This window comes from Homo sapiens, chromosome 22 (assembly GCF_000001405.40).
Source record: "Homo sapiens chromosome 22, GRCh38.p14 Primary Assembly".
NCBI lineage: Eukaryota > Metazoa > Chordata > Mammalia > Primates > Hominidae > Homo > Homo sapiens.
The window spans coordinates 42,037,906-42,056,872 of record NC_000022.11 but is presented as its reverse complement, the minus strand read 5'-3'; the positions used below and the strand labels follow the sequence as shown (position 1 = coordinate 42,056,872).

Sequence of the window (18,967 nt, the reverse complement as noted above, 5' to 3'; positions counted from 1 at the left end):
ATAACTAAGTATAATTGGATTGTTTGTCACAAAGGATAAATGCTTGAGGCACTAGATACCCCATTTTCCATGATGTGATTATTACAGGAATGCAATGCCTGTATCAAAACATCTCATGTACTCCATAAATATATACACCTACTATGCAGCCACAAAAATTAAAAATGAAAAAAAAGGCAGTGGGTTGACATATTCAAAGTGTTGAAAGAAAAAGACTATGAAAAAATTTGTTATTTGGCCAAACTATCTTTCAAAAATGAAGGCAACATGAAAACATTCCCAGATAAACAAAAACAGAGTTCATCTCTAGCCACCCTGCCCTACATAAAATACTAAAGGACATCCTTCAGGCCAAAATGGAAGGAAACTAGTAACTTGAATCCACATGGAGAAATAAAGAGCACCAGTAAATGGAACTACATAAGTAAATATAAATGATTTTGGTTTGTAACTCATTTTTTGTCCCCATCTGATTTAAAAGGTAACTTAAATGCAGTAATTATAAACTAAGATGGGTAGACTATGTATAAAGATGTCATTTGTAACAATAACAGCATAAAGGAGGAGGGGAACAGCTATATAAGAAGCAAAATTTTTGTATACAAGTGGCATGAATTAGTATTAATCAGAATGAGATAGTTCAGAATAAGATGTTAATGGTAATCCCTATGGCAACCACAAAAAAACTTTAAAAATCTAGTAAATATATGATAGAGATAAAATGGTACAAAATAAAATGTCTAACACAAAAAAGGCAGTAATGGAAGAAATGTGGAACAAAAGAGACTTAAGACATAACACACAAATAGTAAAATGACAAATGTATAAACCTTATCAATAATTACATGTAAATGGATTAAACATAGATCGACAGAATGCATTTAAAAGATACACACCCAAGTGCACACACAATCCAAAAATGTGCTTTGTTTAAGAGACACTTTAGACTCAAAGACATAAGTTGGAAGTAAAAGGACAGAAAAAGATACACCAAGCAAATGGTAGCAAAAGTACTAGGGTTGGGGGGAGGGTCTATGTTAATATCAGAAAAAGACTTTAAGACAAAAATTGTTACTAGATCCAAAAGATTTTATAAAATTGAGAAGATCAATCCACCAAAAAAGATATAATTTTACACATTAGCATACCTAACGAGTCCAAATATATAAAGCAAAACCAGACACAATTGAATACAGAAATAGATAATTCAACAATAAATGTTACCAATTATATTACCAATACTAATTATAAACCAATTAGACCTAACAGACATTTACAGAACATTCCACCCAATAGCAGCAGAATATACATTCTTCTCAGTACAAATGAAACATTCTCTAGGACAGACCATATGTTAGGCCATAAAATAAGTATCACTAAATTGTAAAAGACTGAAATTGCCAGGCACGGTGGCTCACACCTGTAATCCCAGCACTTTGGGAGGCCAAGTCGGGCAGATCACCTGAGGTCGGGAGTTCCAGATCAGCCTGACCAACATGGTGAAACCCCATCTCTACTAAAAATACAAAAATTAGCCAGGCTTGGTGGCAGGCGCCTGTAATCCCAGCTACTCTGGAGGCTGAGGCGGAAAATCGCTTGAACCCTGAGGCGGAGGTTGTAGTGAGCCAAGATCGCGCCACTGCACTCCAGCCTGGGCGACAGAGCGAGACTCAGTCTCAAAAAAAAATTAGCTGGGCATGGTGGTGGGTGCCTGTTGATGCAGGAGAATCATTTGAACTCAGGAGGCAGAGGTTGCAGTGAGCTGAGATCACACCATTGCACTCCAGCCTGGGTGACAGAGCAAAACTCCATCTCAAGAAAAAAAAGAAAAGAAAGAAAAAGAGGACACACACTTTCAATTTCAGTATCTACCAAAAAGCTACAGTAATAAAAACAGTGTGGTACTGGTATAACAATAGACATACAGTTGAGAGTCCAGAAATAAACCCATACATCTATAGCTAATTGATTTTTTTTCTTTTTTAGACACCAGGTCTCACTCTGTTGCCCAGGCTGGCGTGTACTAGTGTGACATAGCTCAGTGCAGGCTTAAACCCCTGGGTTCAGGCGAACCTCCCACCTTGGCCTCCCAAAGCACTGGAATCAGAGGCATGAACCACTGCATCCAGCCAGTTAATTGATTTTTTTTTTTTTTTTACAAAGGTACTAAGACCCTTCAATTAGAAAATAGTATTTTAAATAAATGGCACTGGGACAACTAGATATCCACATGTAAAAAAAAATGAATGTAACTCAAAATGGTTAAAAGACCTAAATGTAAGACTGAAAACTATAAAACTCTTAGAATAAAACATAAGTATAAATCTTAGTGACTTTAGATTATGCCACAGTTTCTTAGATAGGACACTAAAATCAGAAACAGGCTGGGTACGGTGGGTCATGCTTATAATCCCAGCACTTTGGGAGGCCAAGGCAGGTGGATCACCTGAGGTCAGGAGTTTGAGACCAGCCTGGCCAATAAGGTGAAACCCTATCTCTACTAAAAATACAAAAAAAAAAAAAAATTACCTGGGCATGGTGCCATGCGCCTGTAATCCCAGCTGCTCAGGAGGCTAAAGCAGGAGAATTGCTTGAACCTGAGAGGTGGAGGTTTCAGTGATCGTGCCACTGCACTCTAGCCTGGGTGACAGTGTGAGACTCTGTCTCAAAAAAAAAATTTTTTTTTTAAATCAGAAGCAATCAAAAAAAATAGATAAGTTGGACTTGATCAAAATTCAAAACTTTTCTGTGTCAAAGTATACTATCCAGAAAATTAAAAGAGGCCCCGCACAGTCGCATACACTTGTAATCCCAGCACACTGGGAGGCTGGGATGGGAGGATCACTTGAGGCCAGGAGTTCAAGAGCCTGAGCAACATAGTAAGACCTTGTCTCATTTTTTTTTAAATAAAAAATAAACAAAGTTAAAAGACAACTCGCAGGATGGGATGCAGCATTTGTAAATCATATACTCCAACTAGGGTCTAGTATCCAGATATATACAACTTAATAAAAAGACAAATGACTTAATTAAAAATAGACAAAGAATTTGAATAGACATATCTCCAAAGAGTTATACAAATGGCTAATAAGCTCATGAAAAGATGCCCAACATTGGCCAGGTGTGGTGGCTCATGCCTGTAATTCCAGCACTTTGGGAGGCCGAGGCAGGTGGATCATGAGGTCAGGAGTTCGAGACCAGCCTGGCCAACATAGTAAAACCCTGTCTCTACTAAAAATACAAAAATTAGCCAGGCATGGTGGCATGCACCTGTAGTCCCAGCTACTTATGAGGCTGAGGCAGGAGAACTGCTTGAACCTGGGAGGTGGAGGTTGTGGTGAGCTGAGATCGCGCCACTGCACTCCAGCCTGGGTGAGAGTGACTCTGGTCTTAAAAAAAAAAGAAAAAGAAAAAGAAAAAGAGGAAAAAAAAAGATGCCCATGTTACATTGTTAGTCATCAGTCACTGTAGAAACCTGCCTGGCAGTTCCTCAAAATGTTAAACAGAGTTACCATATGATCCAGCAATTCACTCTTAGGTAAATGCCTAAGAGAAATTTAAAAATATGCCTACACAAAGACTTGTATGTGAATGTTCATAGCATTATTCATAATAGCCAAAAAGTATAAACAACTCAAACGTCTATCAACTGATGAATGGATAAACAAAATGTGTTATATCCATGCAATCCACACAGTATATCCATAGTGACACATGCCACAACACGGTTGAACCTTGAAAACTTTATGCTAAGTGAAAGCCAGACACAAAAGTACATGCATTGTATTATTCCATTTATAAGAAATGTCTGGAATAGGCAAACCTACAGAGACAAAAAGTAGATAAATGGTTGCCAAGGGATGGAGGGAAGAGGAAATGAGAAGTGATTGCTAATGGTTATGGGGTTTCTTTTTAGGTAATGAAGATGTTCTGGAATTACAGTACTTACGGTTGCCTATCTTTCTGTACAAATAACACATGGCTTTTGCCTCCTGACTGGAGCCTTTCAGGTATACAGAGAGCCTACAATTAGCTGCTGTTCAAGGATCCAGGTGAGAGACAGGGAGGCTGGGACAGGGGTGATCGCAGTGAAGATGAAGAAGGACTGGCCAGATCTCCAGGACTCAGTGACCATTGGGAGGGGCTGCCAAGGCAATATGCACAGGCCAAAGACACATTGGAAAAATAGACAAAAGTGTTAGAAATTGTTGAAAAGTACCTATTTTGCCACTCTTATTTCCAGCAACAGTCTAGAATTTCTGGACTCCAAGGAAAAAATACAAGTGGGTTCCAGGCCTGGCACAGTGGCTCATGCCTCTAATCCCAGCACTCTGGGAGGCCAAGGTGGGTGGATCGCCTGAGGTCAGGAGTTCGAGACCAGCCTGGCCAACATAGTGAAACCCTGTCTCTACTAAAAATACAAAAAATTAGCTGGGCATGGTGGTACACACCTGTAGTCCCACCTACTCGAGAGGCTGGGGCACAAGAATCGCTGGAACCAGGTGGAGGTTGCAGTGAGCCAGGATCACACCACTGTACTCCAGCCTGGGTGACAGAGCCAGACTCCATCTCAAAAAAAAGAGGAAAAAAAAATACAAGTTGGTTCCTGTTTAAAGAGCTTCAAGAAGTTCTCAGAAAGTATTCCTCAAGACAGTCCCTGGAGAGGCTGTATGTGAAGGCCTACAAAGACAGACCTTTACCTCTACAAAGACCCTTTACCTCTCCAGGTTGGAACAAAGCCATCTGCACTGACTTGGGGTGTGTAAAATAATAAATTGAGATGATTTTCCTTACTAAAAAGACTGACCGGTTTATAGAATGAGAATAAGATGGTAATTTAGTTGTATATCCTAATACCTAGATTTAAATCCTTGCTCCACTTACAGCTGTGCAATCTTGAGCACCCTACTTAATCTCTCTGTGCTTCTACTTCCTCTATAATGGGGATAATGTATTATAATATTCTACTTCCTTTATAGTGGGGATAATAGTTCCTACCTCATGGGATTATCGCTCAGGAATTAAGTGAGCTAATTTATGTAAAGCACTGAGAATGGCACCTGAATAAGTAGTTACTCAGGCCCAGGCTTTTCTACATGGTGGTTTTTGCCACCTAGCTTGGGAGCCCTCAGACATTTAAAAAGCTGTGGGAAATCAGTCTCTCCCTCTAAATGGGCTTCCCATCCCTCCCCTGACCCCAGCCTTTTAAAGACCAGGTTTAGGTTTCCTGAACAATTAAGCAGAAAATGCAGAGTTCCCATATACCCTCTCTTCACTCACTGTTTCCCCTATTGTTAACATCCTGCATTAATGTGGCAGATTTGTTATAATTGATAGTACTGATACATTATTAGCAAACGTTCATAATTTACATTAGGGTTTACATTAGGGTTCACTCTTTATGCTGTACATTCACTGGGTTTTCACTAATGTGTCATGAGGCACACCCACTGTTACAGTATCATACAGAATAGTTTCACTGCCCTAAAAATCCTTGTTCCACCTGGTTCATCCCTCCCTCCCTTCCCTCTCCCCCACTCCTGGCCATCACTGATCTTTTCACTGTCTCCATAGTTTTGCCTTTTCCAGAATGTCACAGAGTTTGAATCATACAGTAAATAGCCTTTCAGATTGGCTTCTTTCACTTAGCAATATGAATCTAGGGTTCCTCCATATCTTTTCATGGTTTGATAGTACATTACTTTTTAAGCAATGTGCTTAAATGAATAATATCCCATTGTATAGATATACCACTGTTTATCCATTCAACTATTCAAGGACATCTTTGTTGCTTCCAGGTTTCAGCAATTATGAATAAAGCTGCTATAAATATTTGAGTGCAGATTTTTGTGGACATAGATTTTCAACTCATTTGGATAAATACCAAGGAGCACAATTGCTGGGACATATGGTAAGAGTATATTTAGTTTGGAAGACAGTTTGGCAGTTTCTTACTAAAGTGTACCATTTTGTACTCCCAGGAAGCAATGAACGTTCCTGTTGCTCCACATCCTCACCAGAATTTGGTGTTGTCAGCATTTTGGATTTTAGCCATTGTAATAGGTGTATAATAGTATCTGTTTTAATTTGCAATTCCTTAATGATATATGATGTTCAGCATCTTCTAATATGTGTGTTTGCCATCTGTTTATCTTCTTTGGTGAGGTGTCTGTTTGGGTCTTTTATCCATTTTTTAATTAGTTTTTTTTTTTGGGAGGGGACGGGGGAATGGAGTCTCACTCTGTTGCCCAGACTGGAGTGCAGTGGCATGATCTCGGCTCACTGCAACCTCCACCTCCTGGGTTCAAGAGATCCTCCTGCCTCAACCTCCTGAGTAGCTGGGATTACAGGCAAGCGCCACAACACCCAGCTAATTTTTATATATTTTTAGTAGAGACGGGGTTTTGTCATGTTGGCTAGGCTGGTCTCAAATTCCTAACCTCAGGTGATCCGCCTGCCTCGGCTTCCCAAAGTGCTGGGATTACAAGCATAAGCCACCATGCCTGGCCCAGGTTGTTTTTTTTGTTTTTTGTTTTTTTAATTATTGAGTTGTAAGAGTTGGATTTTTCGTTTGTTTTTAGAGACAGGGTCTCCCTCTGTCACCCAGGCTAGAAGACACTGGCACAATCATTGTTCACTGCAGCCTCAAGCAATCCTCCCACCTAAGCCTCCCGAGTAGCTAGGACTATAGGAATGCCCAGCTAATTTTTGTAGTTTTTTGTAGAGACAGGGTCTCACTATGTTGCCCAGACTGGTCTTAAACTGGCCTCAAGCAATCTTCCCACTTCGGCCTCCCAAAGATTACAGGCATGAGCCACCTGTAAATTTTAGATATAAAAGATGGCAGAATGTGCCACACCAAAATGTGCCACTTTTTTTTTTTTTTTTTTTTTTTTGAGACGGAGTCTCGCTTCTTTGCCCAGGCCGGAGTGCTATGGCACAATCTTGGCTCACTGCAACCTCTGCCTCTCAGGTTCAAGCAATTCTCCTGCCTCAGCCTCCCCAGTAGCTGGGATTATAGGCATGTGCCACCATGCCTGGCTAAATTTTGTATTTGTATTCAACCTATCAATTATTTTTTTCTTTTTTCATGCTTTTGATGTTGTTTCTAAAGACTCACTGGAAAAGCCAAAATGTTCTATTTTTTTTTTTTTTTTTTTTTTTTTTGTTTTGTTTTGTTTTGGAGACGGAGTCTCGCTCTGTCACCCAGGCTGGAGTGCAGTGGCATGATCTCCGCTCACTGCAAGCTCTGCCTCCTGGGTTCATGCCATTCTCCTGCCTCAGCCTCCTGAGTAGCTAGGACTACAGGTGCCCGCCACCACGCCCGGCTAATTTTTTGTATTTTTAGTAGAGACGGGGTTTCACCGTGTTAGCCAGGATGGTCTCAATCTCCTGACCTCGTGATCCACCCACCTTGGCCTCCCAAAGTGCTAGGATTACAGGAATGAGCCACCGTGCCCGGCCTCCTATGTTATCTTCTAGAATTTTTATAGCTTAGTGTTTTACAATTAGGTCTATATTGAGTTAATTTTTATGAAAAGTGTAAAGTCTGTGTCTAGATTTTTTTTTCTTTTGAAATATGAATGTCCAATTGCGCTAGTACCACTTGGGAAGACTATCCTTTCTCCATTGAATTACCTGGGTCCCTTTGTAAAACATGTTGGCTATATTTGTGCGGTACATTCTGGACTCTTCTGTTCCACTAATCTACTTGTCTGCTGCTTTGCTAATACCACATTGTCTTGATTACTATAACTTTACAGCAAGTCTTAAAGGATCAGTTCTTTGACTTTGTTCTTTTCAGTATTGTGTTGGTCATTTGTGAACAAAGTAGGTTGTTCCTTCATTCTGAATATATATGCCTTTTATTTCCTTTCCTTATCTTACTGGATTAGCCAGAACTTCCAACAGGAGGTTCAATAGAATAGGAATAGTGAGAGGGGACACTGCCTTATTCCTGATCTTAGCAAGAAAGCATCTCATTTGCCACCACAGAGTTTTATGTCACCTGTAGGGTTTTTAGTTTTTGGACAATGTTTTTTATCAAGCTGAGGATATTCCCCTCTATTCCTAGTTTGCTGAGGGTTTCTTTTTTTTCTTTTCTTTTTTTTTTTTTTGAGACCGAGTCTCGCTCTGTCGCCCAGGCTGGAGTACAGTGGCGTGATCCTGGCTCACTGCAAGCTCCGCCTCCTGGGTTCACACCATTCTCCTGCCTCAGCCTCCAGAGTAGCTGGGACCACAGGCACCCGCCACCACACCCGGCTAATTTTTTGTATTTTTAGTAGAGACAAGGTTTCACTGTGTTAGCCAGGATGGTCTCGATCTCCTGACCTCATGATCCACCTGCCTCAGCCTCCCAGAGTGCTGGGATTACAGGCATGAACCACCGTGCCCGGCCTGCTGAGGCTTTTTATCATGAAGAGAAGCTAGATTTTTTAAGAGCTTTTTCTGTATCTATTGATATATTTTTCTTCTTTTTTTTTTTTGAGATGGAGTCTTGCTCTATTGCCAGGCTGGAGTGCAGTGGTGCAATCCCGGCTCACTGCAACCTCTGCCTCCCGAGTAGCTGGGATTACAGGTGTGCACCACCACGCCCGGCTAATTTTTGTACTTTTAATAGACACAGGGTTTCACCATGTTGGCCAGGATGGTCTTGATCTCTTGACCTTGTGATCTGCCCGCCTTGGCCTCCCAAAGTGCTGGGATTACAGGTGTGAGCCACCGCACCCAGCCTATTTTTCTTCTTTAGATTGTTGATGTGATGGATTATATTAATTTCAAATGTTGAAACTGTTCTGCACACCTGGATAAATTCTACTTGGTCATGGTGTATTTTTAATATATTCTTGGATTCCGTTTATTAATATTTTGTTTTGAGGATTTTTGCATCTATGTTTATGAGAGATACTGGTCTGCAGATTTTCTTTCTAAAAATATATTGACTGGTTTTAGGCTGGGTGCAGTGGCTTACGCCTATAATCCCAGCACTTTGGGAGGCCGAGATTGGGCGGACCACAAGGTCAGGAGATCAAGACCATCCTGGCTAACACGGTGAAACCCCGTCTCTTCTAAAAATATAAAAAGTTAGCCAGGTGTGGTGGCATGCGCCTATAGTCCCAGCTGCTGGGGAGGCTGAGGCAGGAGAATGGCGTGAACCCGGGAGGCGGAGCTTGCAGTAAGCTGAGACGGCGCCACTGCACTCCAGCCTGGGCAACAGAGTGAGACTCTGTCTCAAAAAAAAAAAAAAAAAATTTGATTGGTTTTTTTTGGGAGGCGGGGGGTTTTTTGTTGTTGTTTTTGAGATGAGACTCGCTCTGTGCAGTGGCGTGATCTCAGCTCACTGCAACCTCCGCCGCCCAGGTTCAAGCGATTCTCCTGCCTCAGCCTCCCGAGTAGCTGGGATTACAGGCACCCGACACAACACCAGGCTAATTTTTGTACTTTTAGTAGAGACAGGGTTTCACCATGTTGGCCAGGCTGGTCTCGAGGCATGAGCCACCACATCTGGCCATGGTTCTGGTATTTACATATTTTTGGTCTCAGAGAATGAGTCAGCAAGTGTTTCTCTCTGCTCCGATTTTCTTTTTTTTTTTTTTTTTTTTTGAGCTTGAAAATAAATCTTTATTTTCAGTTATTACCCACCAGTAAGAGAAAGTTAGGCTCACAGTTTTAGCTCTTGACACAAAGTGAACTAGGAGGCAAATTTATATATCCATCAGATACAACTAATGGACCAACTTTTTAAGTTCAGGCTATCTTGAAAGCTTGCAACATACCAGATATTGCTATGTTGTCTCTCACGACAGCAATGGATGACACTGAGAAGTTGTGTTTTGAATAGCAGGTGTTTTCTATAGTATGTTGCTGGAAATCAAGAGGTTTATAAACATGCTGCATGTTTGGAAATGAGTTAGATACCTGAAAAGTCTAAACACACTGATTTAGGAGTGTATATGTTGTCATCTCAAGAGGGGTCAATAGTTTCTGTGGACTAAATTAATCTCTGGGTAGCACGTATGTTTGTAAATATAAAATTATATTAGACATTAGCACCAGTGCAGAACATGCTCAGCATCGTAAGATCCAAAACACCAGCAAGTTTATCCATCATTAAAAACAATTACCTCCTTCCTAAAATGTCAGAATAGTACATCACTGAGATTAATAAATCTAATCCAAAAAAGTAACTCTTATAACATAAAATTTCTCTTTTAGAAGTATATGTGAGAACCAATCAGCTAAATAGAAATGTTTAAGATTGAAGATGTCCAATATTTTTAAAATGGGACATTACCATATACAGGTAGAACATTTCTAAAAATGATGTGACAAAAAATTCATAAAACTTTTTAAAAAATTTCTTCACTGTTTATCAATAAATGTGGCAGAATAAAAGACAATCCTAGAAAAATTTTTTTATTCATCATTCTATGTGTGTTTTAGTAAGTGGTGATGCTCCCATTATAGGAATCCATTATTAACCTAATTTTCTAATGGAGGAAGAGAGAAAAGATAATTACCACTTTCTGTGGAATACTCAACTTAGGACCAAATAATAGCAATCTAGGAAATTTAGAAACAGTAAAGATTTTTGGTTTATATTTCATGGATAGTGCTGCTGTTCCAACCTTATAAAGTAAAGCTGTCTGCTTCCCAAATTCCAAAAATTAAAATACTCCCCCACCTCACCCTACCAACCAGTGCCCTTTGGTTTTTGTTTGTTTTAGAACAAAGAAGGTTAAATGGTTGATTATGGATGTACCATTTTGATTCTGGGACCTTTCACACATAGAAATCCTACCAAATGGCCAGACACTTATTTTACAAAACAGTTTAAATATTACACATTGGCCAAATCAACTTATTCCACCCACCCTGGTGGAGGAGGAGAAAAAACCCATACCTATAAAACTACTTCACTTGACAGCATGTGTCTATCAACAAGTAGCTTCAACAACTTTCACCAATTAAGATGTCTAGTTTAGATTTTAAAATGGGAAAGTCAAGCATTTTAAAAGTAAATATAGTTGAAAATGTAAATCAGTTATAATTTGAACTTTAATGAACCATGCAAGTCTCTCCTCCTATTTTCTGGAACATATTGAATTTACCAGTGAACTCACCTGAGCCTGGTGCTTTATTTTTTGGAAGTTTATTAATTATTGACTCAATTTTTAAAATACATATAGGGCTATTGAGATTGTCTGTTTCTTCTTGTGTGAGTTTCTTTCAAGGAATTAGTCCATTTCATCTAGGTTATCGAATTTGTGGGCAGAGAGCTGTTCACAATATTCCTTATAATCCTTGTAATGCCCATGGGATCAACAGTGATTTTTCTCTTTCATTTCTATGAAATTTCACTTCACAGAAATTTGTCCTTTTTCCTTAGTTAGCCTGGCGAGAGGCTGTTTTTTGTTTGTTTGTTTTGTTTTTTGTTTTGTTTTTGAGACAGTCTCGCTCTGTCGCCCAGGCTGGAGTGCAGTGGCTCACTGCAAGCTCCGCCTCCTGGGTTCACGCCATTCTCCTGCCTCAGCCTCCAGAGTAGCTGGGACTACAGGCGACCACCACCATGCCCGGCTAATTTTTTGTATTTTTTTTAGTAGAGACGGGGTTTCACCATGTTGGCCAGGATGGTCTCGATCTCCTGACCTCGTGATCCGCCCGCCTCGGACTCCCAAAGTGCTGGGATTACAGGCGTGAGCCACCGCGCCCGGCCGAGGTTTTAAAATTTTATTGATTTTAGGCTGGGCATAGTGGCTTATGCTTCTAATCACAGTGCTTTGGGAGACTGAGACAAGAGGATTGATTAAGGCCAGGAGTTCAAGACCAGACCGGGCAACATAGTGAGATGCCCATCTCTCTTAAAAAAATAAAAAATAAATAAAGAAAAAAAAATTAGCCAGGTGTGGCATGTGCCTGTAGTCCCAGCTATTCAGGAGGCTGAGGCAGGACGATCAACTTGAGCCCAGGAGTTCCTAGTTACAGTGAGCTATGATTAAGCCACTGCACTCCAGCCTGGGTGACAGAGTGACATCCATCTCTACAAAATAAATTTTTAAAAATTTATTTTTTGAAACACAGTCTCTGTCACCCATGCTGGAATGCAGTGGCATGAACATGGCCCACTGCAGCCTTGACTTCCTGGGTTCAAGCAATCTTCCTGCCTCAGCCTCCCCAGTAGCTGGGACTAACAGGCACACACCACCATGTCCAGTGAAAGTTTTTTATTATTTGTAGAGACAGGGTCTCCCCTCGTTGCCCAGGCTAGTCTCGAACTCCTGGGCTTAAGCAATCCTTCTGCCTTGGCTTCCCAAAATGCTGGGATTACAGGCATGAGCCACTGTACCTAGCCAAAACCAAAATTTTTATTCATCTTTTCAAAGAACGAAATTTGGTTTTGTTGATTTTCTCTATTAATTCCTGCTATGGCTTGAATGTTTGTCCCCTCTGAAACTCATGTTGAAACTGAATCCCCAGTGGGGCTGTATTGAAAGGTAAGGCCAGCTGGTCGCGGTGGCACATGCTTATAATCTCAGCATTTTGGGTGGCTGAAGTGGGAGGATCGCTTCAGGCCAGGAGTTCAAGACCAGCCTAGTCAACATAATGAGACCTTGTCTGTAGAGATAAAAAAAAATTTAAAAAAAAATTAGCCAGACATAGTGGCACATGCCTGGTGGGATAGGGACAGGGATGGATAGAAAGCATTCTAGGCACAGACTTGGTGAAACAGGAGAGCAAGGCTCATTTGGGTAACTCTTCTCCAAACCGAAAAGACAACTATTGCCTCTCTGAGGCAACAGAGAAGGAAATCTTTTCTTTGGTTAACAACTTAAAACTCTAGCTGCAGGGCGGGCGAGGTGGCTCACGCCTGTAATCCCAGAACTTTGGGAGGCCAAGGTGGGTGGATCACTTGAGGCCAGTAGTTCAAGACCAGCCTGGCCAATATGATGAAACCCTGTCTATACAAAAATACAAAAAATTAGCCGGGTATGATGGCAGTTCCCTATAATCCCAGCTATTTGGGAGACTGAGGCAGGAGAATCGCTTGAACCTGGGAGGTGGAGGTTGCAGTGAGCTTAGATCGCGCCACTGCACTCTAGCCTGGGCAACAGAGCAAGACTCCATCTCAAAAAAAAAAAAATCTAGCTCCAGTAGTTTTGGCTAGCGTGTCAAAGATTGTTGAAAGAACATTTGGACTTTAAAAGCAATTTGCTTCTCCTCAGTTGTGCACATGCATGCAGCTGATCCAGAATGGTTGCTGGCCCTTCCCTCCATGCACATGCCTACAACTGGCCCTTAAATTCACAAGGATGCACACTACCAACACCACAGCTACACACACACATAACTGCCACTGTGTGTGTGCCTAGAGTTGACTCCAGCCCCTACTGTTGGTCCTCGCCTTCACCACAATATATGCCCACATCTGGCCATTGCCATCACACATGTGCCAGCAGCTGGCTCCCACAACTGAGCATATACACACCACGAGCCCTAGCCCCACACCAACAACTTGTTCCAGTCCCTTGCTGCTGCACCTGGAAGCATTGCTGAGAACTTCAACAGCCCTTGCAGCCACTGTAGGCCCCCACACCTCTTGTCTCCAAGGACCACACAGTTGCTGACATCACAGACCCAGCTCCCTGAGCCAATAAAACACTGTACTGCTCCATGAACCTGGAGCTGCCACATGCCCCCACACTTTGTGGAGGACCACTAGAACCAATGCCATGGCACACTGCAGCATGCTGCCCACCCACTCCTGAGGAGTGAAAGTCTTTCCTTACCAAAGCTACTCTATAAAACCTAGAAGAGATGGATTGCTTCTTCTCCTTTTTTTTTTTTTTTTTTTTTTTCTTGGCTCACTGCAACCTCTGTCTCCTGGGCTCAAGGGATCCTCCTACCTTAGCCTCCTGAGTAGCTGGGACTACAGGTGTATACCACCACGCCTGGCTAATTTTTTTATCTTCTTTGGTAGAGACAGGGTTTCACCGTGTTGCCCAAGCTGGTCATCTCGAACTGCTGGGCTCAAGTGATCTGCCCACCTTGGCCTCCCAAAGTGCTGGAGTTGCAGGCATGGGCCACCATACCCAGCCAATGATTACTTCTCTAAATGTGCAAACACCTATGCAAGGCTAGAAGGATCACAAGGAATCAGGGAAACATGACAACACCAAAGGAAGAAAATAAGCTTCTAGTAAATAATCCAAAGAGATGGATATCCATGAACCGCCTGATAAAAAATTCACAATAATTGTTTTAGAGAAATTCCACAAACTACAAGAGAACACAGATAAACAATTTAATGAAATCAGGAAAAGAATACAAGAATGAAATGAGAAGTTCAGCAAAGATAGAGAAAAATTAAAACAAAACATTCTGGAGCTGAAGAATATAATGACTGAACTACAAAATGCAATACAGAACTTCAGAAGATGACTCAAGTAGAAGAAAGAATCTGCAGACTCAAAAACAGGTTATTTGAAATTATCTAATTGGAGGAGAAAAGAGAAAAAAGAACTAAAATGTACGAAGAAAGCTTATAGGATTTATGAGACACTATCAAGTGAACTAATATACACATTATGGGGTTATGAGATGAAGAAGAGTGAGAAAAGGAAGTAGAAAGTGTATTTGAAGAAGTAACTAAAAAGATTCCCAAATCTTTGGAAAGAAATAGACGTCCAGACTGAAGAAGCCCATAGGATCCCAAATAGGTTGAACACAAGTCTACAACAAGACACATCACAATGAAACTGTCAAAGTCAAAAACTTTTGAAAGATGCAAGAAAAAAGCAACTTGTCATTCAAGGGAATCCCTATGAGACTATCAGCAGATTTCTCCACAAAAATTTTGTAGGCCAGGAAAGAATGGGATAATATGTTCCAAATATTGACATAAAATGGCAACCAAGAATACTATACCCTGCAAAGCTATCCTTTAAAACTGAAAGAGAGATAGTCTTTCCCACATAAACAAAAACTGAGTTTGTCACCATTACACCTGTCTTACAAGAAATGCTTAAGGGATTTCTTCAAATGGAATTTAAAACATCCTAATCAGCAATGTGAAAGCATAAATCTCACAGGCAAAGGTAAATATAGTCAAATACAAAATAATATAACACTGTAATGGTGGTGCCCAATTTACCCATAACACTACAAAAGTTGAAAAATAAAAATATCAAGAATAACTATAACCAAAAAAATTTGGTAATAGAGTCACAATATAAAAAGAAGTAAGCTAAAGGCTTACTTTAGCTATAAGGACACTCAGACTAAAGGTGAAGGGATAGAAAAAGATACTCCATGCAAATGGTAACCAAAAGAGAGCAAAAGTGGCTATACTTTTATCAGACAAAACAGACTTTTTTTTTTTTTTTTTTTTTTTAAAGACAGAACCTCGCCCTGTTGCCAGGCTAGAGTGCAGTGGCATGATCTCGGCTCACTGTAACCTCCGCCTCCTGGGTTCAAGTGATTCTCCTGCCTCAGCCCCCCGAGTAGCTGGGACTACAGGTGTGTGCCACCACGCCCAGCTAATTTATATATTTTTAGTAGAGATGGGGTTTCACCATGTTGGCCAGGATGGTCTCGCTCTCTTGACCTCGTGATCTGCCTGTCTCAGCCTCCCCTCCCAAAGTGCTGGGATTACAGGCGTGTGCCACTGTGCCCAGCCAAAACAGACTTTTAAGTCCAAAACTGTTACTAGGGACAAAGAAAGTCATATAATGATAAAAGTTTCAATTCAACAGGAAGCTATAACAATTATAAACATGTATGTACTGAACATCAGAGCACTTAAATATATAAATCAAATATGGACAGATATGAAGAAAGAGGTTAAAAACAATTTAATAGTAGGAGAATTCAATATTCCACTTTTAATAATGGATAGCACATTCAGGCAGACAACCAATAAAAAAACAACTGATTTGAATAACACTATACACCAAATGGACCTAACATACAGAACGTTTTAGCCAACAGCAGCAGAATACAATTTCATCTCAAGTATACATGGAACATATTCCAGGATAGGTCACATCTTAAGTCACAAAACAAGTTTTAACAAATTTAAGAAGATTGAAATAATACCTGGTATCTTCTTAGGCCACAGTGGAAAGAACTAGAAATCGGTAACATAAAGAAAATAGAAAAATTCACAAATTCATAAAAACAATACACTCTTGAACAACTGGATAAAAGAGGAAATCCAGAGAGAATTTTAAAATATCTTGAGACAAAAATAAAATTCTAACTTTCTAAAATTTACAGGAATCAGCAAAAGCAGTTCCATAAGGGAAATGTATAGCATTAAACACCTATGTTTAAAAAGAAGAAAGATCTCGGTCAGGCGAGGTGGCTCACACACCTGTTATCCCAGCACTTTGGGAGGCCGAGGCAGGCAGATCACTTGAGGTCAGGAGTTCAAGACTAGCCTGGCGAACATGGTGAAACCTCGTCTCTACTAAAATACAAAAAATTAGCCAGGCGTGGTGGCAGGCAACTATAATCCCAGCTACTCAGGAGGCTGAGGCAGGAGAATTACTTGAACCCAGGAGGCGGAGGTTGCAGTGAGCTGAGATCGCACCATTGCACTCCAGCCTAGGCAACAGAGCAAGACTCTGTCTAAAAAAAAAAAAAGAGAGAGAGAGAAGATAGATCTCAATTAAAGAACCTAACATTGGCCAAGGCATGGTGGGAGGCCAAGGCGGGTGGATCACTTGAAGTCAAGAGTTCGAAACCAGCCTGTCCAACATAGTGAAACCCCATGTCTACTAAAAATACAAAAAATTAGCCGGGTATGGTGGTGCCTGCCTGTAGTCCCAGCTACTCTGGAGGCTGAGGCAGGAGAATCGCTTGAACCCAGGAGGCGGAGGTTGCAGTGAGCTGAGGTTGAGCCACTGCACTCCAGCTCTGGGTAACAAAACAAGACTTCATCTCGAGGAAAAAAAAAAAAAAAACCTAACTGTACAAATCAAGAAACTAGAAAAAGAGGAACAAACTCGACCCAAAGTTAGCAGAAGGACAGAAATAAGAAAAATTAGAGCAGAAATAAACAAAATAGAGAATAGAAAAAACTAAGTTGGCTTTTTAAAAAGATCAACAAAATCATCAAGCCTTTAGCTAGATTAAAAAAGAAGATTCAAATAAATAAAATCATAAATAAGAGAGGAGACATTACAATGGATGACACAGAAATAAAAAGGATCATAAGGGACTATTATGACAACCTATATGCCAATAAATGGAATAACCTAGAAGAAATGGATAAATCCTTAGTAACACACACACTACCAAGACCGAATCAAGAAGAAACAGAAAGTCTGAGCAGACCAATAACAAACAAGGAGTTGAATCAGTAATCAAAAACATTCCAGGCTGAGCGTAGTGGCTCACACCTATGATCACAGTACTTTGGAACGCTGAGCCAGGAGGATTGCTTGGGCTCTAGAGTTTGAGACCAGCCTAGGCAACACAGGAAGACCTCACTGATACTGGAAAAAAAAAAAAAAAGCCTGTAATCCCAGCACTTTGGGAGGCCAAGGCGAGTGGATCACCTGAGGTCAGGAGTTCGACACCAGCCTGTCCAACATGGTGAAACCCTGTCTCTACTAAAAAAAAATACAAGAATTAGCCAGGCATGGTGGTGGGCGCCTGTAATCCCAGCTACTTGGGAGATGGAGGCAAGAGAATTGCTTGAACCCAGGAGACGGAAATTGCAGTGAGCCGACACAGTGCCACTGCACTCCACCCTGGGCAACGGGGTGAGACTCTGTCTCAAAAAAAAAAAAAAATTAGCCAGGAATGGTGGTGTGCACCTGTAGTCCCAGCTACGTAAGAGAGGCTGAGGCAGGAGGATCACCTGAGCCCAGGAGATTGAGGCTGCAGTGAGCAATGATCATACCACTGCACTGCAGCCTAGGCAACAGAGTAAGACCCTATCTCGAAAAAGAAAAAAAAAATCCAGCTGGACGCAGTGGCTCACGCCTGTAATCCCAGCACTTTGGGAGGCCGAGGTGGGTGTATCACCTGAGGTCAGGAGATCGAGACCATCCTGGCTAACACGGTGAAACCCCGTCTCTACTAAAAGTACAAAAAATTAGCTGGGCGTGATGGCAGGTGCCTGTAGTCCCAGCTACTCGGGAGGCTGAGGCAGGAGAATGGCGTGAACCCGGGAGACGGAGCTTGCAGTGAGCCAAGATCACACCACTGCACTCCAATCTGGGCAACAGAGCGAGACTTGGTCTCAAACAAAAAAAAAATCCAACAAAGAAATGCCCAAGACCGGATGGTTTCATATGCTAATTCTACCAAATATTCAAAGAACACTAGGCCTTCTTAAACTCTTCCAAAAATTAAAAAAGAGAATGCACTCCCAAACTCATTTTATAAAGTCAGCATCACCCTGATTCCAAAGCTAAAGATAACATAAGAAAATTACCAGGCAATATCCCTGATGAACATAAATGCAAAAATCGTTAATAAAACACTAGCAAACCAAATTCAACAGCACATTAAAATGATTATACAACATGATAGAGTGGGATTTATCCATAGGATACAAGGTCAGTTAACATATGAAAATCAACCAATGTAGTAAATCACAATAAGAGGAAGGAAACACAAAAAACAGATGATCACATCAGTAGACCTAGAAAAAGCATTTGACAAAAGTCAACATCCTTTCATGATAAAGACTCAACAAAACAAGTATGGAAGAAATTTACCTCAATGCAATAAAGGTCACTTATGAAATGCCCACAACTAACATCACACTCAATGGTGAAAGACTGAAAGCTTTTCTTTCCTCTAAGATACAGAACAAGGAAAGGATGCTCACTCTTATCACTGTTAATCAACATAGTACTGGAAGTCATAGCCAGGGCAATCAGGCAAGAAAAACAGAGGCTTCCAAGTCAGAAAGGAAAAAGTAAGATTATTTTTGCATGCCATGACCATATAC

At 40.9% G+C, this 18,967-nt stretch overlaps 1 protein-coding gene across 2 annotated transcripts in view, besides 1 other annotated feature; it reads right to left on the bottom strand.

The window, feature by feature from the left end:
• The window catches only part of WBP2NL (WBP2 N-terminal like), a 59,584-nt gene that overhangs the window by 1,499 nt on the left and 39,118 nt on the right, over positions 1-18,967 (bottom strand). The window lies entirely within an intron of this gene.
• Positions 9,110-9,219: an enhancer, noted in NCBI's record as "active region_19152". NCBI's record gives its function as "activates an Ori minimal core promoter by ATAC-STARR-seq in GM12878 lymphoblastoid cells {active_cell/tissue: GM12878}" and the evidence as "EXISTENCE:reporter gene assay evidence [ECO:0000049][PMID:35858748]".